The 26,764-nt window shown below is 41.0% G+C and overlaps 1 long non-coding RNA gene across 1 annotated transcript; it reads right to left on the bottom strand.

Annotated features, from left to right (window-relative positions):
- Positions 1-2,476: 2,476 nt before the first annotated feature.
- On the bottom strand, positions 2,477-25,689 carry LINC02283 (long intergenic non-protein coding RNA 2283). The gene is made up of 2 exons (NR_147160.1): positions 25,647-25,689; positions 2,477-3,057 (listed from the first exon to the last, which is right to left on the bottom strand). It is a non-coding gene; the product is annotated as a long intergenic non-protein coding RNA 2283 (long non-coding RNA).
- Positions 25,690-26,764: the final 1,075 nt, after the last annotated feature.

Genomic DNA, 26,764 nt, shown 5'->3' with positions numbered 1-26,764 from the left:
GAGAGACAATAAACAAAACCATATATGCAGCAAAGAAATTACACGGGTAAGGGGACAGAGACTGGGCTAGAACGTGGCTACTTTACATCAGAAGGTCAGGGAGTACCTCTCTGAGGACACCAAGGATGTTTCACCTGAGCAAAATGAGGAAGTAATTTGTGCAAAGTCAACAAGTTCAGTTACCTGAGGTAAAGGTGTGTGGATTGGGAGACATCAGGAAGACCGCCTTAGCACCAGGGCTGAAGGAAGAGCTCCTGGATTCCCTGTTGCAGTCTCTCCTCTTCATGGTCCTGTAGTCCCCGCAGGGTATGAACTGGGAGCACTCTCCAGCCCAGACCAGGATTCCATGACACGTCCCCATTCCCAGGTAGCAGCTGGGAGAGACCAGGCTACAGAGCTGGTTACCAAGACAGGGAATGAGGCTGGGACACCGACACCAGTCATGAGTGCTGGATGGGGAGTGGGGCTCAGGAACCAATAGGTAGGCCAATTAGTAGAACTGGGACTTCAGTGCCAACAAACAGCAGAGCAAACAAACAGCAGTGTCTGGATGTGGAATTTCCAAGGAAATGCATGATTATTTCAGCACAGTTCACACCGCCCTCACTCCCACACAAAATGTGCATTCCCTCTGTCTTTGCCTCCTGCTTCTCTCCCTTTTGTTTACTCTATTCCAGGCACACCTGCCACCTGGCCTGGCTCATGTCTGCCTCCAATGCTTGAACTTGCTATTCCCTCTTTCTGGAATTCCCTTCCTTCAGATGCCCTCAGGGCTCATGCTGTCACCTACTTCAGGCTTTGCACAAATGTCACCCTCCCAATCAGGCCCATGTTGGCCACCCTCTTCCAAACACTAGATTGGAGGAAAATTGCAAACACTAGATGGAGGAAGAAGCTCCCTGGCTAAAGGAGAGGACTTCTGTAAGGGAACCTGGCTCAGCCAAGGACAGAAACTATATGTCACTTAGGTGCAAGTCAGGCAGTTGAGGAACCCATCCTGGCACCCAGCATTCCCTTCTAAGTGCCTTGGGAGAGTTAAGGAACCAAACTAGAACTCCACCATTGATATACCATTAACACTGGGGTCTGGGCACATGAGTTTTGGTTTTTCTTTGTGTGTGTGTGTTTTTAGGGGAATATAGACAATACATTCCCAAAAAGGCCCAAAATTTAAAACATACCAAGGGACATTCAGCGAAAACCCCTCCTGTTCCTCTTGCCTTTTGACTACCTGCTCCCTCCACCGAAAGCCATAAATCTTATCAGCGTCTGGTGTATCTTTCCAGAAATATTTTATAGATAACAAACCAAAGATGTTTCTATTCCCTCTGCCCTTTATCCAAATGGTGGCATCCTATACATAGCCTCTTTGCTTTTTTCACTTAAATGTCTTAAAGATTTCTCCCTCTCAGCTTCTTCACTCCTGTCACAGCAGCTTAGTAATCTCTTTAGGTGTGCTATCATGTTTTATTTAAGCAGTTCCCTTTTGATGAACATGTGGGCTATTTCTAATCCTTTGTTGTCAAAAACAGTACTGCAGAGAATAACCTTGAACACAGGTCATTTCACCTTGGGTAATTCTGTTGGGATTGCTGTACCCAGGGTGTGAGCATTTTCAGTTTTGATCAACAGCACCAATCTGTCCTTCCTAAGGAAGACCCCCTATATAAGCAAGCAACTGAAATATGAGTATTTCAGCACAAAACCCACACTTCAGTGCTCAGGGCTTGGCACCTAGTTGGAGCTTAATAAATGTTTGTTAGGCGAGTATATGGGAGGATGAGAGGATGACTAGATGTGAGGTTGGGTAGATGGATATACAAACTAATGATGAAATTCAAGACAGCGCAAGTACTGCCTCCTTCCAGAAGGTCTCTCTGAAAACAAGCCTACACTTACTCCTCTCTTTTTTGTTTTCAGGGCCACAGAGTTTAAGACTTAATTGTTCTCTGCTTCATATGTGTCCCTTTTGTGTCCTTAAATTAAGGGTAAATTCCCGGAGGGTCAGGACTACAGAGACTGGCAGGAAACAGCAGAGCAGATGGAATCCCAGCTCTACCGTGTACTAGCTATAGGACTCCGGGCAAGTTGCTAAATCGCCCTGGCACCAGCTGCCTTGGATGTCAAATGGGGGTGATTACACTTGTACCTACCTACCCCATAGGTGGTGCTGAGAGAATTAAACATGCTAACGCGAGTAATGAGCTTAGAACATGCTGGGCCAACAGCAAGCCCTCGGCAAATGTTTGCTGCTGATCGTGATCATGTTTCTGTTGTATCTCTTCCATTGCTTACAGTAGTGGTGGGCACACAAAGAGATATTCTGCCAGTATTTCACCACTGATTCTATACACTATTGTGAACAATCAGTTTTAGTTGAACCATGCCATTCTTCCAGCATGCACATTGCTTTTGAATGCTGTTGAATATCTCAGCGCTTATCTGCCTAGCTTGAGTCAACACAAGTATACATTAACTTATTCCATGAATATTTAATATTATCAACCAGGAGCCAAGATTGGAGCCATGAACAGGACAGCAAAATTTTTGCCTTCATGGGGGCTTCATTTTAGTGAAGGAGACACAGCCGAAGGAGCTAAGTGAAAGAGGCAGCCACTCTGGGGAATTCACTGCATGAAATGACTTTGTTTTGAAAGTTTCAGAGGCAAAATTATCCAGATTGTCTGTCAGCATCTCCCAAATGTACCTGGCTGTTTGCTTTGCTCACGAGTTCATTCATTTTAGCTATGAAGCTTTTACCCAAGTGCTTGGAATTTCCTTTCTTGAACATCCCTTTAATCAGATCCATTCCCCTCCTCACCTCCTTGATCATTCTTCTCCAGCATAGTTGCTAATGATGTGTGCATGTGCCAGACTTGCACAAACGTTGGGCTGCCAACCACTCTGTGCCTGTTAATTCCATCCTCAGCTCAAGCCGGGATCCTTGAGTTACAACAGATGCTTCTTCCCTGGGGCTTCAGCCCCCATCGATCAGCTTTGTTGATGAGGAAGAAAAGTTTCCTCCTTGACTGCCATTTGAATATAATTTATTGTGTTCTGAAAGAAAAGTGGAAAGACGAAAAGGTATGGATGGGCAATAATACAAATGAATTGTGATGGATGATACTCAGATTTCAGTTTCAAAGGAATATGCTTTTAAGTCGATAAATGATTGCAATGGTGAGACGAAGTCTCCACAGCTGTGCCAAATGGGCTCCTTCAAAATGGCCAGAGTGCCTATTGGAGTCCATGAGGGAGTGAGATGAACAATTACGATAAAGAAAATAATAAAATGAGCACATGGTGTTTAAGAGAAACAACACCATAAACAGACTGTGAATTTTAATCCAGGCTCCAATCTTGAGCAAGTTACTTAATGGCTCTGTGCCTCATTTTCTCAGGTGTAAAATGGGAATTCTAGTACCTGCTTCTAGCAGAATTGTTGGGAGGATTAAATGAGTTAAAATACAGGAAGTCATTAGAACAGTGTCTGGCATGTAGTAAGCACTAGACTGATGTTTGCTCTGTTTGTTGTGATTAATGGTGAATTTTGCACTCTACCAGGTCCTGAGCTAAGCCTGTCTGTCCACGACTTCACTTCACTATCACCACCACTCTCCCTGTGACTGTCATTGTGCTCACCCTTTACAGGGGGAAATGGGTGGAGAGCTATGCACTTGTCTTCCAAATACAGAAGAATTTCTGACTTTGCTCTTATCCTCGCTTAGGCTTTTGTTGTTGTTTTGTTTTGTTTTGTTTTGTTTTTGGAGATGAAGTTTCGCTCTTGTCGCTCAGGCTGGAATGCAATGCTGTGATCTTGGCTCACTGCAACTCCCACCTCCAGGTTCAAGCGATTCTACTGCCTCAGCCTCCCAAGTAGCTGGGATTACAGGCGCACACCACCACGCTAGCTAATTTTTGTATTTTTTAGTAGAGACAGGGTTTCACCATGTTTCCCAGGCTGGTCTCGAACTTCTGACCTCAGGTGATCTGCCCTCCTCAGCCTCCCAAAGTTCTGGGATTACAGGTGAGAGCCACCATGCCCAACTTCTCACTTAGGTTTTATATGAGTGTCTTCTGTTTATGTATTTGCAGTTCCAATTAGGTATAGGAAAAAATTTTAAACACTGGAAATAAATATTCCAAGCTGTTCATAGTGGTTGTTTCGAGGTGATAGGATTATGAGAGGCTAGTTTTCTTCCTTCTACTTTCTGTATTTTGATAATTTCTAAAACTAGTTGTGTGTGTATATGTTTATGTGTTTATTTACAATAAAATGTAGAAAATGAATGTTTAAATGTAAGAGAAGGGCAGATTTAGTTCACCTCTTTCTTTTCCTGAAATAACTCAATCAACTTCCTCATCAGAGCACGTTAATAAGAAATCAGGAACCTAGTGTCACATATAGGACCAAGACTAGCTCATGCTGGGCCTGGTCGTTGAAGAATTATTGCTATTTCTGGGGAATTTCTTGGTCTATGAGATACCTAAGCCCATACAACAACATAATTTTATATGATGAATTATGTAGTTATATACATGCTGTACTAAGAAATGCTACATCTGAGATAAAGGTGAGTATAATATCATAAATAATTTAAAATTAGAATGAAAATAAATAACAACAAAGCAACAGCATATTTCCTATGTAAAGAGGAATTGCTTACATTTCAGGTGGTTTGTGAGTTTCTTTTGAATTGAGCACTTCTATTATCTGAGTCCTGGCCTGAATCTGAGGTTAATTATATGTTACCTTACAGCCGTAGAGACCATTTCTCCTTTAACAATACCACTCAACTTTTCATTTATCTTTCCTGGTTTCCTGCTCACTTGAAAATCTGTTGAAAAGACATTATAGGTTCATAGATTGGATTAAAAGGAGAAAAAATAAAATAAAGGTAGTCCTACTTCACACTAACCTTATTTAAGAAAGCAGCAAGAAAGCTCTAAGGTCGGCTGTCTGAGCTCAAGAATTCAGGGGCAGGGGCAGTTAGAAGTCCTCCTCATTCAATCTACAGCCTCAAAAAATCTTAGGCCTCTCATGGAATATAAGTAGTGGTAATGGGAGGAAGGCATATTCTCTCTCTCTATGGCCCCCCACCTCAATTTCGCAACAAATAGGAACCCAAGAGGAAAAAAATAATTGTCTAAAATGTGATAGAACCTTTTATTAATATGTATTTCCAAAATACTGCTGTACAGTAAATCACCCAACTACGTAGTCACTTAATAAAAAACAACAACTGTTGACAAGGATGCAGAGAGAAGAGAACACTTTACACTGTGATGAGAATGTAAATTAGTACAGCCTCCATGGAAAACAGTATGGAGGTTTCTCAAAGAACTAAAAATAACTACCATAAAATCCAGCAATTCCACTACTTAAAATCTACCCCAAAAAATTTTTATATTAAAAAAAAGACACCTGAATACACATGTTTATAGCAACAGTATCTACAACAGCAAAGTCATGGAATCAACCTAAGTGTCCATCGGTGGATGATTGGATAAAGAAAATGTAGTGTGTCTACAGAGTGGAACACTATTCAGCCATAAAAAAATGAGATGATGGGTTTTTCTTTTTTTTTGCAGCAACATGGATGAAACTGGAGGCCATGATCTTCAGAGAAACAACTCAGACACAGAAAGACAAATACTGTATGTTCTCATTTGTAAGTGGAGCTAAATAATGTGTACACATGAACTTAGAGTGTGGAATGATAGACAATGGAGACTCAGAAGGGTGGGAGGGTGGCAGGGGATGGGTGATGAGAAATTAATGGGTATAATATACATTGTTTGATAGATACCCTAAAAGCCCTGACTTTACCACTACACAATATATCTGTGTAACCAAAATTACAATTGTACCCCATAAATTTGTACAAATAAAATAAATAAATGCACATAACTTATTTAACCACTTTAGACTGTTTCTAGTATTTTACTATCATAAACAGTGCACCAAAGTCATTGTACTTTGTCATGTCACATGTGTAAATGTATACATATTTGTAAATTCTAGATATGGCATTGCTGGGTCAAAGGGCATAGGCATTAAATGTGTTTCATTAACAAAAAATGGAAAATGAATAAATAATTTTTAAAAACAACGTAGGCTGGGCGCAGTGGCTCACACCTGTAATAGCAGCACTTTGAGAGGCTGAGGTAGGCGGATCACTTGAGCCCAGGAGTTTGAGACCAGCCTGGGCAACATGGCAAAACCTTGCCTCTACAAAAAACACAAAAATTAGCGGGGCATGGTGGTGCACACCTGTAGTCCCAGCTACTTGGGAGGCTGAGGCAAGAGGATGGTTTGAGCCTGGGAGGCAGAGGTTTCAGTGAGCTGAGACTGTACTATTGCACTCCAGCATGGGTGACAGAGTGAGACTCTGTCTTAAAAAACAACAACAACAACAAAAAACACCTACTTGCTTAAATAGCAATTAGGTATGATTTCTCAGCTAGACAGTTCTGCTTACCTGTACTGGGCTTAGCTAAATTTGACTGGGCTCCCCCGGGCATGTGTGGTCAGCAGGTTTGGGGTCTGGGCCTCAGTTCGGTTGACTCGTTCCTAATCCACATGATTCTCCAGCAGGCTAAGGCAGTCTAGTGGACATGGCAGTTAGATAGTGTTCCACCAGGGAGAGAGGATGTGGGCACAATCTCTTAAATTCTAAACTCAGAACTAATCCTCCATCACTTCTAATGCATTCCATTGGCCACCCCAGATTCCAAATGGGGAATAGTCGTAAAGTCATGCTGCAAAGGGTATGGATACAAGAAGGGGGGAAAATTGGGGCCATGTTTGCGATCAATCTACCACAAACTGGAAACATAACGGTACAGGAAATAAGCAACAATTATGAAATATGCTTCATTGTTGTAATTATCCTGAGACAGGGTAGATCATAGGATTTTCACCAAGATGAAAACCAAAAAGTACTCAAAATTTTAATTAAGGACCATCTGAGAAGACATGGGAGACACTCATCAGATCTTGTCCCTGACCCACCCCCTAAGAGGCATTTCCCGCTCTGGAAGAAGAGTCCTTTGATTCCTGATGATTCTATGGAAGATGATTCCAAGTCTGGGGCCCCTTCAGAATGAAATCATAGCAGCCCTGTGAGGGGTTTATTAGGTACCCAAGGTGATCAATTATTTCTGCAGTCCTGAAGGAGCACAGAGCAGTGAGATCATTGAAGTTGTTTCAGATGTCTTAACAAGGTCTCCTGATCTCAGGCTTTGTTTGACATAGTCAAGTTTTGACAAAAGGTAGAAACATGAAATTATGCTGTAGCCTGAAAAAATTCTCTTTTAAATGAAACCCTAAATTTATATTCAAAATTGTACGCATACTGAGATTGAAACCATGTAAAGCTATGTACATAAAAAGACAAAGGTAAACCAGGAACACACAAAAGGGAAAATAATTATATTCTGATGATGCAGTGGTCGTGTTTTTCTCATTTTTCAAAATGTTCTTTAATGCTGGGGTTATACTTTCTTACCATAAAAGGGTGGGGGGCTGTAAGTAAATTGAAAGCAAAGATTAATAAGCATTTATCTTCAATAGTATACACATTGTAGAACAGTGAAAGCTCGGTATTGTCTTTTTATTTTATAATCTTTAGGCTGACAATGAAATATTCAAATGCCAAGAAACACAAAAGCAGTTCAGAATTATACTTGAGGAAGAGTTATGTGACTCCACTATCATTACTTAATTCGTACAAAGTGCCTTAAATAAGTGGTTTTATCTTTATCTTGTGATTTTTTATTTAGTAGATTTCTATGAATCTGTCTAATGATGACAGGCCAGCAGGACCCATGTGCTGAAGCATATCTAACAATGCAATCACAGTAATTTGAAAAAATAACAAAAGAATAATCATAGCTATATATTCTCTGGCTGGTTTTGAATTCAAATGCAAAAATGTGGGTAAATGTTCAAAATTAATGTATCTAAAGCTAAAAAGAAAAACCTGGCTCACTAGGAAACATTTTAACTTAGAGTGTCAAATAATAAAGTTAACTCAACGTAAAAGCAAAGGAAACATATTTTGTGTTTTGTTTTCCAGGGCTGAACACAAAGCTTTTAATATTAGTCAAAAGTTTGATAAAAGGATGCAGCACTATCTGAATCAGAAAAGTAGTTTTTGCTCTTACCACTATTGAATAGTTTGTAAGGAATGAGTTGATGATTCCAGCCTATTCTTAGATCCCTCCCCTGCCTCCTACTTCCCTACAGAGACCAGAAATAACCACAATAGGAACATTTTCTATCCATGCCATACTAGTTCCTTTCAAGTTATTTTTATATACATTTTCTCATTTAAGATTCTTCCAGACCAGTGGACTAAATAGCACAGACATTATCATCTCCGTTTACAAATAAGAAACCAAGACCCCCCCAAAATAAGTAACTTTGAGATTACAAATATTTTAAGAACCCTGATCTGATCACTATACATTATATGTATTGGAGCATCACTATGTACTCCATGAGTATGTACAACTATTTGCCAATTTAAAAAATAAAAATTTTAAATTTTGAAAAGTTAAAAAAAAATGTAAGTAACTAGTTCAAAGACATACAACTGGTAAGTGGCAGGTTAGGTTCATCCTTATAAGCAGCAGAAAAGGAGGGCACTTAAAGATGCTGCCTGTCATTAAGAAAAGATGTATCATATTAGAGAGAAATTTAAAATATTAAAGCAAAAAAAATGCCTGTAATTCCACTTACTAGAGAGAGCCACTTTTAACACCTTGACATAGCTCCTTCCAGCTATAATGGTCTAGCTTTGTATTTCACCGAGCAAACTGAATCAGTAAAAAGAGAACTTCCACATTCTCCCCAACCAGTCTACCAACCCCACATCTGTGTCTATATACCCTGCCTTCCCTCCTGGTACAAGGGATGAACTGACCATGTTCCTACTGTTTATTCTGCGCTTGATTTTATTTTCTTTTACCTACTCAGAGATTCATTATGCAATTAGCTCCTAATCAGTGGTTCCCCCATGCCAAATGATTTCTATCAGTAAGCAAACATAGTGTAATCTCTCCCATCCAGAACAAAGAAACAAACAATGAACAAATCTTTGTGGCCCCCACATCCTTCTTTCACGGCAGCCCTGTTTCTCTGCTCTCCTTTTTAGCACACAATCTTCAAAGTTGTCTAGACTCCCTGGCTCCTGTTGTGCCTTGAACACACTCCACGCAGGCTTGCATTCCTGCCACTCCACTAAAACTGCTTTTGTCCAGGCCAGTGACCTCCCCATGTCCAAATCCAATGGTCAGCCCTCAGTGCTCTTCTTAATCCTGCAGGAACACTTGACATCTATCCCACTTTCTTTGAAACACGTTCTTCTTTTGTTTCCCAGCACACCAACTTTCTTGGTTTTACTCCTATCTCCACGGCCACTTCTCACTTTTGCAAGTTCTTCCTCTCCCCAACCCTAAGATTGGCCCAGTGCTCAACCTTTTCACTTGCTTATCTCTATACCAACTTTCTTGGTGATCTCTTCAGTCCCAGGACCTAAAATTACCACCTATATGTTGATAATCCCCATATTGTATCTCCAGCCCTGATATAAATTTCTCCCCTGAACTCCAGAATTACATATCTCCACTTGGACATCTAATAGGCATCCCTGGTAGGCTCCAATATGGCCTTACTGTTTGTTTATAAGTGGTATCAGCTCTGATTCATTGAAAATCCCTTCTGATTAACCAGCCTGTTGGACACCAGTTGATACTTTTAAATATAGTCCTTTGATGAAGGCATCTCAACTTTAAAATGGCCACACTGAAATCTTGATTCCAGCCCGCTAGTACTCCATTTTCTCACAGTCTTTCCCATTTCTGTAAACATCCTTGGACTTACCGTTCCCTCTGCCTGGAAATCTCTTCCCCCAGATACCTGCTTGGCTTGCTCCTTCACTTCGTTCAAGTCCCTATTTAAACAGCAGCCATGAAATCCTCCCTCAGCACCTACTTAAAAAAGGGGCTCCCCATTCCCCCCTCATTGTGCTTCATCCTTGGCCTTTTCTGTTTTGCTGTGTTGCTCTTTTCATTAAAGCACATATGAGATGATAAAATATGGAGGGAGGTTATATATGATACGGCAGATTTGCTCATTTGGTTGTTTGTTTACAGTCTTCCCTCACTAAAAATTAAGCCTCAGGCAGACAGGGGCATATTTTAGATTTTCGTTCGGTGTTTGATACTCAGGACCTAGAAATATGTTTTATGCACAATAGGCTTTTGTATTCTCGGGGGAGACAGAAATTGAACAAATGACTGGGCAAATGTATCATATTATATGTTATATAATTGAATGATTTCAGCTAAGAAGAAAAAAGAAGCAGGGAAGGGACTACAGAATGAGAGAGACATGGGGGTCTATGTACATACACACATACAACACATGATTTAGAAAAATAGTACCAAAAAGTCCATTTGGTTACCTGCTTTTTTAAAAATAGTATATATATATATATATTTTTTTTTTTTTTTTGGCCAGGTGTGGTGGCTCACACCTGTAATGCCAGCACTTTGGGAGCCGCCTGAGGCAGGCAGATCACTTGAGGTCAGGAGTTGGAGACCAGCCTGGACAACATGGTAAAAACCTGTCTCTACAAAGAATACAAAAATTAGCCAGGCATGGTGGCACACGCCTGTAATCCCAACTACTCGGAAGCATCGCTTGAACTTGGGAGGTGGAGGTTGCAGTGATCCGAGATTGTGCCACTGCACTCCAGCCTGGGCAACAAACAGAGTGAGACACTCTCAAACGAACAAAAAAACAGTATTTTTAATGACTACATAAGGTTCCATTGTATAGATTATTGTTTATTTAACCAATCCAGCATTGTCAAATATTTAAATAGGCTCCTTTTTTCACCTCTATAAATATTAGTTAGGTTTTTTTTAATTTATGGTAATTTTATTTTATAATTTTTTTATTTTTCCATAAGTTATTGGGGTGCAGGTCATATTTGGTTACATGAGTAAGTTCTTTAGTGGTGATTTCTGAAATTTTGGTGCAACCATCACCCAAGCAGTATACACTGCATCATATTTATATTCTTTTATCCGTCACTCCCCTCCCACTGTTCCCCCCAAGTCACCAAAGTTCATTGTATCATTCTTATGCCTTTGCATCCTCATAGCTTAGATCCCACATATCAGTGAGAACATACGATATTTGGTTTTCCATTCCTGAGTTACTTCACTTAGAATAACAGTCTCCAATCTTACCCAGGTCACTGCAAATGCTGTTAATTCATTCATTTTTATGGCTGCATAGTATTCCATTGTGTATATATACCACAGTTTATCCACTCGTTGATTGATGGGCATTTGGTTTGGTTCCACATTTTTGCGATTGTGAATTCTGCTACTATACACATGCGTATGCAAGTATCTTTTTCATATGAAGACTTCTTTTCCTCTGGGTAGATACCCATTAGTGGGATTGCTAGATCAAATGGTAGTTCTACTTTTAGTTCTTTAAGGAATCTCCACCCCATTTTCCATAGTGGTTGTAGTAGTTTACATGCCCACCAGCAGTGTAGAAGTGTTCCATGTTCACCATATCTATGGCAACATCAACTATTTTTTTATTTTTTATTATGGCTATTCTTTCAGGAGTAAGGTGGTATTGCCTTGTGGTTTTGATTTGCATTTCCCTGATCATTAGTGATGTTGAGCATTTTTTCATATGTTTGTTGGTCATTTGTATATTTTGTTTTGAGAATTGTCTATGCATGTTCTTAGCCCACTTTTTGATGGGATTGTTTGTTTTTATCTTGTGGATTTGTTTGAGTTTGTTGTAGATTCTGGATATTAGTCCTTTACTAGATGTATAGATTGTGAAGATTTTCTCCCACTCTATGGGTTGTATGTTTACTCTGCTGACTGTTCCTTTTATCATGCAAAAGCTCTTTAGTTTAATTAGGTCCCAGCTATTTGTCTTTGTTTTATTGCATTTGCTTTTGGGTTCTTAGTCATGAAATCCTTGCCCAAGCCAATGTCTAGAAGGAATTTTCCAATGTTATCTTCTAGAATTTTTATAATTTCAGGTCTTCAGTTTAAGTCCTTAATCCATCTTGAGTTGATTTTTATGTAAGGTGAGAGATGAGGATCCAGTTTTATTCTCTTACATGTGGCTAGCCAATTATCCCAGCACCATTTGTTGAAAAGGGTAGTCATTTCCCCACTTTATGTTTCTGTTTGCTTTGTCAAAGATCAGTTGGCTGTAAGTATTTGGGTTTATTTTTGGGTTCTCTATACTGTTCCATTGTTCTATGTGCCTATTTTTGTACCAGTAGCACACTGTTTTGGTGACTATGGCTTTATAGTAAAGTTTGAAATCAGGAAGTGTGATGCTCCAGATTTGTTCTTTTTGTTTAGTCTTGCTTTGGCTATGCAGGCTCTTTTTCGGTTCCATATGAGCTTTAGAATTGTTTTTTTCTAATTCTGTGAAGAATGATTGGAGGTATCCTGATGAGGATTGCATTGAATTTGTAGACTGCTTTTGGCACTATGGTCATTTTCACAATATTGATTCAGCTCATCATGAGCATGGGATGTGTTTCCATTTGTTTCTGTCTTCTATGATTTCTTTCACATTGTTTTGTAGTTTTCCTTATAGAGGTCTTTCACCTCCTTGGTTAGGTGTATTCCTAAGTATTTCATTTTTTTCAGCTATTGTAAAAGGAGTTGAGTTCTTGATTTGATTCTCCACTTGGTAGCTGTTGATGTATAGAAGAGCTACTGATTTGCATACGTTAATCTTGTATCTGGAAAATTTGCTGAATTCTTTTATCAGTTCTAAGAGCTTTCTGGAGGAGTCATTAGGGTTTTCAAGATAGACGATCATATCATCAGCAAACAGTGACAATTTGACTTCCTCTTTATCGATTTAGCTGACCTTTATTTCTTTCTCTTGTCTGATTGCTCTGGCTAGAACTTCCAGTACTATGGTGAAGAGGAGTGGTGAGAGTGGGCATTCTTGTCTTGTTCCAGTTCTCAAAGGGAATGCTTTCAACTTTTCCTCATTCAGTATTATGTTGGATGTGGGTTTGTCATAGATGGCTTTTTTTTATTACATTAAGGCATGTCTGTTGTATGCCAATTTTGCTGAGAGTTTTAATCATAAAGCAATACTGGATTTTGTCAAATGTTTTTTCTGCATCTATTGAGAGGATCATGTGATTTTTGTTTTTAATTCTGTTTATGTGATGTTATCACATTTATTGACTTGCATATGTTAAACAATCCTGCATCCCTGGTATGAAACCCACTTGATCATAGTGGATTATCTTTTTGATATGTTGTTGGATTGAGGTAGCTAGTATTTTGTTAAGGATTTTAGCATCTATGTTCATCAAGGATTTCAGCCTGTAGCTTTCTTTCTTGGACGTGTCCTTTTCTGGTTTTGGTATTAGGGTGATGTTGGCTTCACAGAATGAATTAGGAAGGGTTCCTTCTTTCTCTATCTTGTGGAATAGTGTCAAAAGGATTGGTACCAATTCTTCTCTGAATGTCTGTTAGGATTCTGCTGTGAATCCATCTGGTCCCGGACATTTTTTTGGTTGGTAATTTCTTAATTACCATTCCAGTCTTGCTGCTTGTTATTGGTCTGTTCAGGATATCCAGTGCTTCCTGATTTAGGCTAGGAGGGTTGTATTTTTACAAGAATCTATCTATCTCTTCTAGGTTTTCTAGTTTATATGTGTAAAGGTGTTCATTATAGCCTTGCATTATCTTTTATATTTCAGTAGTGTCACTTGTAATATCGCCTGTTTAATTTCTTAGTGAGGTTATTTGGATTTTCTCTCTTCTTTTCTTGGTTAATCTTGCTAATGGTCTATCTATTTAATTTATCTTTTCAAAAAACCAGTTTTTGTCTCATTTATTATTTGTGTGTTTTTGTTTGTTTCAATTTCATTTAGTTCTGCTCTGACCTTTGTTATTTCCTTTCTTCTGCTGGGTTTGGGTTTGGTTTGTTTTTGTTTCTCTAATTCCTTGAGGTGTGACCTTAGATTGTCAGTTTGTGCTCTTTCAGACTTTTTGATGTAGGCATTTACTGCTTTGAACTTTCCTCTTAGCACTGCCTTTGCTGTATCCTAGAGGTTTTGATAGGTTATGTCATTATTATCATTCAGTTCAAAGAATTTTTTAATTTCTACCTTGATTTTGTTTTCGACCCAATGCTCATTCAGGAGCAGGTTATTTAATTTCCATGTATTTGGATGGTTTTGAAGGTTTCTTTTGGAATTGATTTCCAGTTTTATTTCACTGTGGTCCGAGAGAGTGCTTGATATATTTTCAATTTTCTTAAATTTATCGAGGCTCATTTTATGGCCTATCATATGGTCTATCTTGGAGAAAGTTCCATGTGCTGTTGAATGTGTACTCTGTGGTTGTTGGATAAAATGTTCTGTATATATTTGTTAGGTCCATTTGCTCCAAGAAACAATCCAATGTTTCTTTGTTAACTTTCTGTCTTGATGACCTGTCTAGTGCTGTCAGTGGAGTATTGAAGTCCCCTACTATTATATTGCTCTCTATCTCATTTCTTAGGTCTGTTAGTAATTGTTTTATAAATTTGGGATCTCCAGTGTTAGGTGCATATATGTTTAGGATTGTGACATTTTCCTATTGGACAAGGCCTTTTATCATTATATAATGTCCCTCTTTGTCTCTTTTTACCATTGTTGCTTTAAAGTTTGTTATGTGTGTACTTTTGTTTTTTTGTTTTTGGTTTTTGCTTTATAACTTGTATTTTTGTTTCATAGGTCCTGTGTGATTTATGCTTTAAAGAGGTTCTGTTTTCATGTGTTTCCAGGATTTGTTTCAAGATTTAGGGCTCCTTTTTGCAGTTCTTGTAGTGGCGGTAATGGCAAATTCTCTCATCATTTGTTTGTCTGAAAAGACCTGTATCTTTCCTTCATATATGATGCTTAGTTTCACTGGATACAAGATTCTTGGCTGATAATTGTTTTGTTTGAGGAGGCTGAAGATAGGCCCCGAATCCCTTCTAGCTTGTAGGGTTTCTGCTGAGAACTCTGCTGTTAATTTGATAGATGTACCTTTATAGGTTACCTGGTGCTTCTGTCTCACAGCTCTTAAGATTCTTTCCTTCATCTTAACTTTGGATAACCTTATGACAATGTACCTAGGTGAAGATCTTTTTGCAGTCAATTTCCCAGGTGTTCTTTGTGCTTCTTTTATTTGGTTGTCTAGGTCTCTCACAAGGCCAGGGAAGTTTTCCTCAATTAGTCCCCCAGATATATTTTGTAGGCTTTTAGAATTCTCTTCTTTTTCAGGAACATTGATTATTCTTAGGTTTGGTTGTTTAACATAATCCCAGACTTCTTGGAGCCTTTGTTCATATTTTCTTATTATTTTTTTCTTTGTCTTTGTTGGATTGGGTTAATTCAAAGACTTTGTCTTTGAGCTCTGAATTTCTTTCTTCTACTTGTTCAATTCTATTGCTGAGACTTTCCACAGCATTTCGCATTTCTAAAAGTATGTCCAAAGTTTCCTGAATTTATGATTGTTTTTTCTTTAAGCTATCTATTTCCTTGAATATATCTCCCGTCACTTCTTCTATTATTCTTGGATTTCCTTGCATCGTGCTTTGTCTTTCTCCGATCCCTCCCTGATCACCCTAATAACTAACCTCCTGAATTCTTTTTCAGGTAAATCAGAAATTTCTTCTTGGTTTGGATCCATTGCTGGTGAACTAGTGTGATTATTTGGGGGTGTTGTAGAGCCTTGTTTTGTCATATTACCAGGGTTGGTTTTCTGATTCATTCTCATTTGGGTAGGCTCTGTCAGAGGGAAGGTCTAAGGCTGAAGGCTGTTGTTCAGATTCTTTTGTCCCACGGGGTGTTCCTTTGATGTAGTACTCTCCCCTTTTCCTATGGATGTGGCTTCCTGTGAGCCGAACTTCAGTGACTGTTGTCTCTCTTCTGAATCTAGCCACCCAGCGAGTCTACCTGGCTCTAGGCTGGTACCAAGGGTTGTCTGCACAGAATCCAGTGATGTGAACCATCTATGGGTCTCTCAGTCATGGATACCAGCACCTGTTCCAGTGGAGGTGTTGGAGGGTGCAATGAACTCTGAGAGGGTCCTTAGCTTCGGTGGTTTAATGCTCTATTTTTGTGCTGGTTGGCCTCCTGCCAGGAGGTGGTGCTTTCCAGAAAGCATTAACTGCAGTAGTGTGAAGAGGAACCGGCGGTGAGCTGGGCCCTAGATTCCCAAGATTACATGCCCTTTGTCTTCACTACTAGGGTGTATAGGGAAGTACCATCAGGTTGGGGCAGGGCTAGGTGTGTCTGAGCTCAGACTCTCCTTGGGTGGATCTTGTTGCACCTGCTGTCAGGGATGGAGGTGAGATTCTCAGGTCACTGGAGTTGTGTACCTAGGAGGATTATGGCTGCCTCTGCTGAGTCTTGCAGGTTGTCAGGGAAGCAGGGTAAAGCCAGCAGTCACAGGCCTCACCCAGCTCCCATGCAAACTGAACGGCCAGTATTACTTCCACCGTGACCCCCAACCAGTATCCCTGAGTATATTTCCAGGTAGAGGGCGAGAAGGGCTTGAAAACTTGCCTGAGGCTATCTGTCTCCAAGCTGTGGGGGAAAAAAAGGGCTTAAGTTCTTCCCCTGCCTATGAAGTCTGTACTCCAGATTTGCACCCTCCCCCGAGTTCTGGCCAGGAGGCTTCCCGCCCGTTCCAATTGTTACAAAGTTCAGCTAGAGAATTCTTTCTCCCTGTGGAGTTTTACCACCTGCCCCTCTGGCCGCCCTCCCTATGGATCCCCGTGGTGCCAGTCAGGAATTGGCTGCTTGGGGACCCAGCGAGCTCCCAGGGCTTTTCTGCTGCTTCCTCTACCCCTGTATTTTGCTCAGCTGTCTAACTTGACTCAGTTCCAGGTAAAGTCGGAAACTTCTCCCGCAAACAAACTTTCAGCTTCTCCAATGGGGGTGTGCTTTCGGGAGAAGAGGGTCTACCTTTCCCACTTCTGCAGTTGGGGCACTCACAGTATTTGGAGTGTCTCCCCGGTCCTGCAGGAGTAGTCCACCTCTTTCAGAGGGTCTGTGGGTCCTCTCGGGATTGCTGGTTTGTTCTTGCAGTCAATCCGGAGCTAAAATTCACAATGCAAGCCTCCACACGCTGCTCTCTCCAGAGGTGCAATCTAGTCCTGCCTCCCATCCGCCATGATCCTCTAGTTCCAATTTCTATTTAGGTTTATTTTAGAGTCCAGACCTGGTATTCAACATGTAGCCACAGCCCCACAAGGTTACCAAGCACTTGAAATGTGGCCAGTCCAAATTAAGATACGTTATAAATGTAAGATGCACTCCAGATTTCCAAGACTTGATGCCAAAAAGGAATATAAAATATCTCATTAATAATTCATTATGTTATATGATAACGTGATATTTTTGATATGTTGGGTTAAATAACATGTTATTAATTGCATATAATACAAAATTTGTTTCACCTGTTTCTTTTTACTTTTTAAATGTGCCTACTAAAAAAATTTAAATTATATAGGTGCTTTTATTATATTTCTATTGGACTAGTGCTGGTCTAGACTCTTAAGGGAGGACACAGAATTTCCATTAATTATTTGCTACTTTGAGCTAACAAGCCATTCTTTTAGAAATCAACACAATTCAAAGCTCTAGCCTTTCAGATTATAGTCTTGATTTGTTTGATTTGATGCTTCCTTCCATTTACCTGGGGGAAACAAGATTTTTATATTGGTATATACTAAAAGTAGTTTTTGTATTTCATGTGCCCATTCTGATGCTGTTTGATCTCTTGGCACCTCCAATCTATAGTCCTGTGGTCCTCTCCAGACAAGCTGGGTGTTCCCTGTATTGATAATTCAGGAAGAGGTAGGTGGGCAGACAGGAGGCTGAAACTTGGAATATGGGCCTTTTGGGCAGATGAGGAGACTTGGTTATTTCTCACTCCCAAAGATACTCTCCTATCAGAGGCTTAACCATGCCCCTTGCCCATCACCAGGGTCAGAGAAAGAGGCATCTCCTTATGGAGTCACAGCTGAATATGAATAACCTGCGATTCACAGGCCAGCCTTTCTAGTTCTTATTACTCTTTCTGTTTGTATTTTTCATTTTCCCTAAACCTATAATATGGTCCAGTCAAATGCTAGAGCTGTATCTTAGCTCTACTGTGGGGTAGCAAGGGAAGGATAAAGTAGCCAAGCTTGAATAAGAGTATATGCTTTTTCTTTGCACTTTAAAAATATATCTTCAGCATTTCCTTGTTATTATGTTATATGTTTTTTCCAAAGAGTGATTTGTAAAGGCTGCATAACATTCCATTATATAAAAATACCACAGTTTTTTAAATCCCTTACTGGATTTCCTGCCTTCCTTTTTTCTTTTTTATTTTGTAGGTATAACTACAATGGCCATCCTTATCTGGAATTCAACAACCTCGAACTGGGCTCAAGCAATACATTCACTTTAGCCTTCCGAGTAGCTGGGACTATGGACACATGCCACCGCACCAGGCTAATTTTTATTTTTTGTAGAGATGGGGTTTACTACGTTTCCCAGGCTGGTCTCAAACACCTGGCCTCAAGCATTCCCCTCACCTAGGCCTCCCAAAGTGCTGGGATTACATGAATGAGCCACTGCACCTGGCTTCGTGCATGATCTTGATTATATATTTTCCTTGAAGAATTGTGGAATTCTAGGATAAAAAGATTTTTGAGTCTCTTACTACATTTTGGAAAATTGACATTCTGAAATATACCAATTTATTCTGCCACTGATATCCCTATTTTCTTATAATTTTAGGATTTGGAAGAACTGGGCCCATATCAAACCCATATCAGCAAATGGAGGAAGTATATGTGGTCCCTATTAGGCCACTGTTTGCTCAGTTCTTGGTGTACCTGAGAGCCCCCAAAAACAGCTTGTTGACATCTCTTAAATTGAACCTGCATTTTTGGTGCAGTAGGAATTATGTGGGCTGGGGAACCACTGAGAACTGAAGAAGGAATCCTAACACATCCATTTGTGAACTGTGTCACTGTGGGCGCAGTATTGAACCACTTGCACCCTTGATCTTCTCATCTTTCACATGGGGATGGCCCTACCTACCTCACAGGACTATGGTAAGGTTGAGATGAAATCACACATGTAAAGCACCTGGGAGGAAGCTTGTCCTTAACCAGTATTAATATTCCACCCAGAACCCCACCCGAACCCCCTTCTCCATTCCACCAGTTCCTCCGTCTCATCCCTGCCCCCACCTCATAAACGACAGCAGTGGCTTCTCTAACATCTTAGGATTCTGAGTTTGAATAAATTACTAATATTTTTATTTGATTTGATGTTCAAAGTCTCTGACCAAAAGTGAACAATTTAATTATTTTATTTTATTCTATTTTATTTGAGACAATGTCTCCCTCTGTTGCCTGGGCTGAAGCTTAGTGGCGCAATTATGGCTCACTGCAGCCTCGAGCAATCCTCAGGCTCAAGCAATCCTCCCACCTCAACCTCCCAATTAGTGGAGACTACAGGCATGCACCACCATGCTTGGCTAATTTTTTAAAAAAATTTTTAGAGATGGGGTCTCACTATGTTGCATTATGTTGTCTCACTAGGCTGGTTTTGAACTCCTAGACTCTAACGATTCTCCTACCTCAGCCTTCCAAAGTGCAGAAATTATAGACCTGAGCCACCACACTCAGCCTGAAGGTGAACAGTTTACAAGTCAAGGAGAGAAATTGTCCTTTCTGTGATATTGCCAGACTCCCCCTGGCTGAAGATTACTATATCAGCCCTGTGAGTGATAATCAGGCTGTTTGGGCCAACAGCCTCTCAAATGAAACTTCTCTCTGGTTTGAAAAGAGCTTTTTTTGGGAGGAATGCCCACATGAATATATGGTTTTCTGTACTGAACATCTATCAACAACAGTGAAATTAAGTCAAGAAATTTTTAGCTATTTACAAAGTCATAACTGAAATTTGTGTTACCATTCCTTTCTATTTGCGGTCATTTAATGCATGAGTTCGTGATGAAGTTATGACCAAATACGACTTGAATTCATGATTTGTTTGGAGGGGAGGGGGCAGATTTTGCTCAACATTTATTACAGTATTCATTCAGTGAGATTTTATTTAGCACTTGCTGCATGCCAGGTGATGAAACAAGTACTGCAGATTAGGGCCAAATAAGGAAGACATGGTTTTAGATTCAGAAGCTTCCAGTCTAAAGTAAAGACAGACAAGAAACAAAAGACAATAAACAAAAATGTTACATAAATTACTGTATATTGTGAAATTATGATAAGAGCCACAAAGGAGGAGAGGAATGCCTTGATTGTATTTGTGTCTGGGGTACCTAACCTAGAGAAATGGGTGAAGTTTAAACTAGACTCTCAGAAATGACTAGTTAAAAAAAGAGTGGCAGATTGTATTTTCCAAAACTAGTCACAACCATAGTCTGCCCCACATGCCCTTCTGGAACCTGCCCCTCCTCCATCAAGTGCCAGAGTCCATGTCCCTTCCTTCTGTCCCTGGACAGATCTTTGTGACTGCTTTAACCAAGAAAGCATATTTGAAATGATGTCGTTTAACTTTGGAGGTAGGTCATAAAAGGTGATGCAGCTTCCAATCAGCCTCCTCTCCTAGAAGCTCACCCTCGGAACCCAGCCACATGGACAGGCCCCTGTGGAATGAACTGAGACCCCAGGCCTAAGCCGTGGCTGAGTTGACAGCAGCAGATTTTTAGCCACATGAGGGAACTGCCTTGAGGGGATGCTGTGACCCTTAGTCAGTCCACCCTAGGTGATGCTGCATGGAGCAGACGAGCCTTCCCTCCAATCCCTGCGAATTGCAGCTGCGTGAACAAAATAAATGATTACAGTTGTTTTCCAACACTAAGTTTGGGGTGGTCATTTATATAGCAATAGGTAAACAGAAGACAGAGTACACAATGAGAGTGACAGACTGGAGGCAGGAAGAGCTTCACCTGTCCAAGGACATGAAAAGAAGCCAGTGTGACTGGAGCACAATGAGCAAGGGAGGTTGTGCAGTAAAAGGAGACAGAAGGGGCTGGAGGAGGCAGGCCAAGGCATCCTTGGAGGCAGGGCTACCAGTCAGCTAATATACAATGGGCTGGATGTACAGAGTGCAAAAATATCAGTTCCTGTCACTCCCACAGCACACGGCAGCTCCTCCAGACTTGTGCCGCTTTTGTCACACCCATCACCAGCCCCACCGTGTCCCACCTGAGGTGCCAGGACCAGTAGGCAGGAGTCTCTCCTCTGAGTTGCTACTTTCTGGCCCCACCTCTTCCCTTTTAATTGCTTCAGTCCTAGGAATGGTAGCTGCTTCCTGAAGTTATTCATATCCAGGCATCTGTGTAACAGATTTCCTGATTACCCTTGTGTTTGAAATACCTAGGGTGATTTTTGTTTTCTAAACTGAATGCTGACAACAAATAGGATGACACTTCCCGACTCCCTGCTGCTGTGGCCCTTCTCAGAAGCCCCTTGGACTCCCTGGGATTAAAGAGGTGACACCAGCACCACAGGCACCCATCTCCAAATCTTGCTCCAGCACCGAAATTAACATCAGTTCTAATTGGTTTGTGCTTCTGCTGTATAGGGGAGTAAATATTTTGAATATCATCCCCCTGCAGAATATGGAAATAATTTTAAACTTGATTCTAAATCTAATGAGAGGCTACTAGAAGATTGTAGACAGTGGCCTGACATAATCAAATGTACATTTTAAAGGATTACTTTGACTACTGTATGCTGAATATACTGGAAAGAGGGCAAAAATGAATGTTAAGAGTCTAGTTAGGAAGTTATTATACCTCCTAACTAAAGTGAGAAATAATAGTGGCCTAGACTAAGCTGATGAATGTGGGCATAAGAATACAGGTTCTGGCCGGGCACAGTGGCTAACGCCTGTAATTCCACCACTTTGGGAGGCCAAGGTGGGTGGATCACGAGGTCGGGAGATCAAGACCTTCCTGGCTAACACGGTGAGACCCCATCTCTGCTAAAAATACAAAAAATTAGCTGGGCGAGTTGGCGGGCACCTATAGTCCCAGCTACTCAGGAGGCTGAAGCAGGAGAATGGCATGAACATGGGAAGCGGAGCTTGCAGTGAGCTGAGATCGTGCCACTGCACTCCAGCCTAGGTGACAGAGCGAGACTCTGTCTCAGAAAAAAAAAAAAAAAAAAAAAAAAAAAAGAATACAGGTTCTGCTAATCCAGTTTAGGTCATCAATAACCTTGCTTTTTTCTCTCTGTCTCTCTCCCCTACATGAAATATAAAGATTGATCTATAAAGGCTATAAACTGGCAAAGCGTAAGAAAAAAATATTTTAAGAGACAGATTGGGTGACTATCACTGCCAAGGGTCAAGACCAATTAAAATGGAAACAAGTCTCACAGCCTCCCTAATTTTTATCGACTATTAGCTGGCTTCGCACACCAGAAAGCATTCCAAGGAAGGTGTAAGTACTTCCTTCCCCACTCTTCCCCCTAGGAAACTTGTCCAGCATGTCAGTAACCAGGTCTTGCTCTACAAGGTGACAACCATCGCTGCCCAGGCCAATGTTAGTAATTCTCCATATTTGCAATATCCTCAGAGCCCGATTCTTTTCTTCTTTCAAGAATAACTACTGTCAGAATTGCCTAGATGATTCTCCAGGCTCCATTGTTCACCCACCTCCTGTCCCTCACCCCCTTTTAGAGTTCCTGCACAGCTCTGGCATCTACTTCTAATCCAGAAGCTTCCAGAAATGTCTTTCTGAACTACTAGGACCTTCTTGAGAACTTGGGACCTGAGTTCTTTATGGAGGGCCTTCAAGGGTAGATATCGAAATGTGTTGAAAAGAACAAGAGGCTTGAATGAATAGCTATGTGATGCTGGGAGAGTAACAGACCTCTCTTAGCCTCTGTTTTCTCACCTGAAAATAGAGAAAACCATCCCTACCTGCCTGGGCTTTTAGGCAGTTCAAATACCTTTACCAAAGCTGTACCTAGCTCACATTAGTTGCCCAATAAATAAATCATCTCATTAAAATAAAAAGAATACAGGTTCTGGACAGATTTATGAGGTAAAGCAGACAGTATCTGGGGACTCATTGAATGTGGGGATGAGAAGGAGGCCGCCATCAAGAAACACCCTAAGGTTTCCGGTGTGAGAAACTTGGGGCATGGACTTCATTTGCTGATAGAAAACTCAAAGAAGCAGGCCGAGGAATGGGTCATAAATTCCATCTGGGCCATATTTGGGTAAACGACTATGAGTCATCCAAAGGCAAATGTTGAATATATGATTTTACACATAGATTTGAAGTATGGAAGACAGAAATCTTTGCAAGAAATAAAAATTTCCAAGTTATCAGACTGTAGAGATGGTATGTAGAGCCTTGGAAATGGGTAAAATAATCTAGGAAGTGACTGTGGAGAAAGAGAGGAGAGTCCAGGTCCAGGATTATGCCATGAAGAAGACCCAGGAAAAATGAAGGAAGGAAGGAAGGAAGGAAGGAAGGAAGGAAAGAAGGAAGGAAGGAAGGGAGGGAAGGAGGGAGGGAGGGAGGAAGGAAGGAAGGAAGGAAAAAAGGAAGGAAGGAAGGACAGGAAGTGTGGTGTGGAAGGAAGGTAGGATTTGTTTTTTCTTTCTTATTTTTTGTAGAGACAGGGTGTTGCTATGTTGCCCAGGCTGGTAGTGAACTCCTGACCCCAACTGATCCTTCTGCCTCTGTCTCCCACACTGTCAAGACAACAGGCATGAGCCACAGTGCCTGGAGAGTAGGATTTTCAATTGGAAATTTCAGGAAGGCATTGGGATTGCTGCACTATCCTTGGCCCATATTTTCAGTCTCATTCCTGCCTTAGTCCTTAGTATTCTAAAGGTTGAAATGGCAGGGAAGATGGTGACATGGAGAGAACTCTTTGGTTCAGACAGACCTGAGCCAGTTCCCAAACAAGTCTCAGCTGCTCTCCCACTGTGTGACCAAAGTAAGCCTTCTTTTTTCCCACTTTCAGCCTCTATTTCCTTTTTTCTCTCTCTTTAAAAAAAAAAAAAATTGTTGTAGAGATGGGAGTCTCACCATTTTGCCCAGGCTGGTCTCAAACTCCTGGCTTTAGGTAATCCTCCTTCCTCGACCTCCTAAAGTGTTGGGATTACAGACATGAGCCACTGTGCCCAGCCCATTTTCTTTTCTGTTTATCAGCATTAAAAGAGTATTGTAAAAATAAAATAACTTGATGTGTATAGATATATTGATATACATTCAGATATATATCTGAAATATATATAGCTATATATCTAATATATATAAAACATATATAAATTGCTATCTATCTCTAGATATACCTACATCCACAAATATCTATATACATCTATATATATATCTATACATATCTATAGATAGATGGCAATTATATACAAGATTTGCATAAAGTTCTCAGCACATGGCAGATACTATACTAATGTTGGCCTGTCACACACACACATACGCAAACACACTCCTGACCACCCTCCTTCTTTCACACTTAAGAAAATAAGAACCAGCTGATTTAAAAGATAATCCTCCACCAGCACTCATGCCTGAAGAATTGGTACTTTCAGAGCCTGAGAAGCCTTTTCAGCCAGCCAGAAGACAGAACCCATACTGTGCGGCTCCCCAGCTCATGGCTTGCATCATGCAGATGCCCACAAACCCTTCATTCAGACATTGCTGAGGCTGGGATTGGGCAGCCACACAGGCAGCAAAGAGCCAGATCTTGCATGTACTGAGACCCTAGAGAGAATTTCTGTAGGTTTTGTTGTTGTCTTGTCCTCTGGGAAGGCTGCTCTTGACTTTCTGGCAATAAATAGAAAAATATAGATAGATGGTAGATAGATAGATAGATAGATAGATAGATAGTTAGATAGATAGGCAGATATCAATTTAGAACATATATGGTCCCCAGGTTTCCCCACTGGATATCCAAATTGGCCTCACTGCATCTGTAATTTAGAAATGATGTTACTCCTAAGGCATTGGGCACAGCAGCTAGGAGGCCAGATACCTCCACTCCAAATACTCTGTCCTGGCAGCCCCCCATTTCAAATGTCCTGTAAGGCTGTGTATCAGGCTCTGTGTCCTGGTTTGGAGCTTTGAAAATATGGTCACCATTTAGAGACATAGGCAAAAGTAAGACATTCTCTTTTTTCCTCCAACTTAAAAGGAAATTATTTGTTACCAAAAAAAAAAAAAAAATTATAACAAGCAACATGACCAGACATTTTATGGAAAGAAAAATTTACCCCTGAACCCTGACATACCAAGAAATCAAAACGTTTTCTTTTTTTGTCATGCCCTTCACCATTCCTAATTTGTGAAATATTTATTATTGTAGCATTAAACAAAAACAAAACGAAAAAAAAAACAGGCAGTGCCAAAGCTGTGTGAGCTCCCAGACCTGCACTCTCCCACCGTCTTTTCCAACTCCTCTACCCAGATACATAGAAGCAAACCATGGGAGGCCTTCTTCTGCTACCCAGCCCACCTGCAGATGGCCCAAATGAAACCCCCCAAACCCTCAATCAATCAAATTTTGCAAACATTACCTACTGCGTGTTCAGCTCTCTTCTAGACACAGAGCAGGGTGAGGAGAAGGGATGTAAGAAAGAAATAGAAGACCTGGTCCTTACTCTCTGGGGCGTTGCCATGGCAACGGGAAGGGGGTGCTGCAGAGGGGGTGGAAAAAGGGCACAATTACCAAGAGAGGCCAGGGCCTAACTGGAGTTCTTGCCCCGTTTCATGTGTGCAGGATGCAGCTGCCTTCTTTGTCCTTTGTGAATGAAGCCACTGATTGTAGCTTCTGAGGCAGTTTCCCAAAAGTGTCATGAGAAAGAGGCAAGATGTTAATGTGTTAAGCAGAAAAAAACAATTCCATGGCCAGATGAGTTGGGGATGTGAGGGTTAAAGAAAAACAAACAGGTTTCTTTCTCCAGATCTCAAAGCATTTACTCTACTCACAGGCAGTGTGAATCTCAACGAGGGCGCGGAAGCCTGCTGCATTTCCCAAGCTTGCGCGGACACAGGGAGGAACACCTTGAGGATCCAGCATCTAAGAAACATACTTTGGAAAATGCAGCTCCAGAATATTCTCTTTTGTGTCTGCTCAAGGACCGTATAGCATATTCTCCCAGATATTTCTAGGCCAAAGGAAGTCATTCCCTCCCCTTCCTTCTCATGCCTGGAAAATGGTAGAATTGAAGAGAAATCCATGGTTGGGCTGGAGGGCTCCCTGTACACAGAGGCTAGGGTGGGGGTGGGGGGCTTGGTGCAGAGAAGGGAGAGAAGGCAACGGACCCAATAAGAGACACCAATTATGGAGGACTTTTGCTGCTTCCAGCACTGGGCTTGCAAGGGAATTATTGAGTAACACCTGCAGTTGCAACCAAGACGGAGGTCAGCTCCTAAACAGAAGGCTCCACGACTCAGTTTCATGGTCACTTTCCTGACATGCAGTAGAAATCCCAGGCTTTTCCTGTTTCCTTTTCTTTGTGAATCCCTTCTCCAGTGTCTATGGGAGTGAGGCGGATGAAGTCACAAAGGCTCTGAGGTTCAGCCTTCTAGGATTACTTAGGCTGTTCAGGTCCCTCCACTTCCTCCCCAAGCTTCCTCCTCTAATTTCCTTAGGCCACTCCATTCTTCCATCCTCTAGTGCAATGGTTCCCAA

The sequence above is a fragment of the Homo sapiens genome, chromosome 4 (assembly GCF_000001405.40).
Source record: "Homo sapiens chromosome 4, GRCh38.p14 Primary Assembly".
Lineage (NCBI taxonomy): Eukaryota > Metazoa > Chordata > Mammalia > Primates > Hominidae > Homo > Homo sapiens.
Note: the sequence above shows the minus strand (reverse complement) of the source record. Positions and strands in the feature narration are given on the sequence as shown.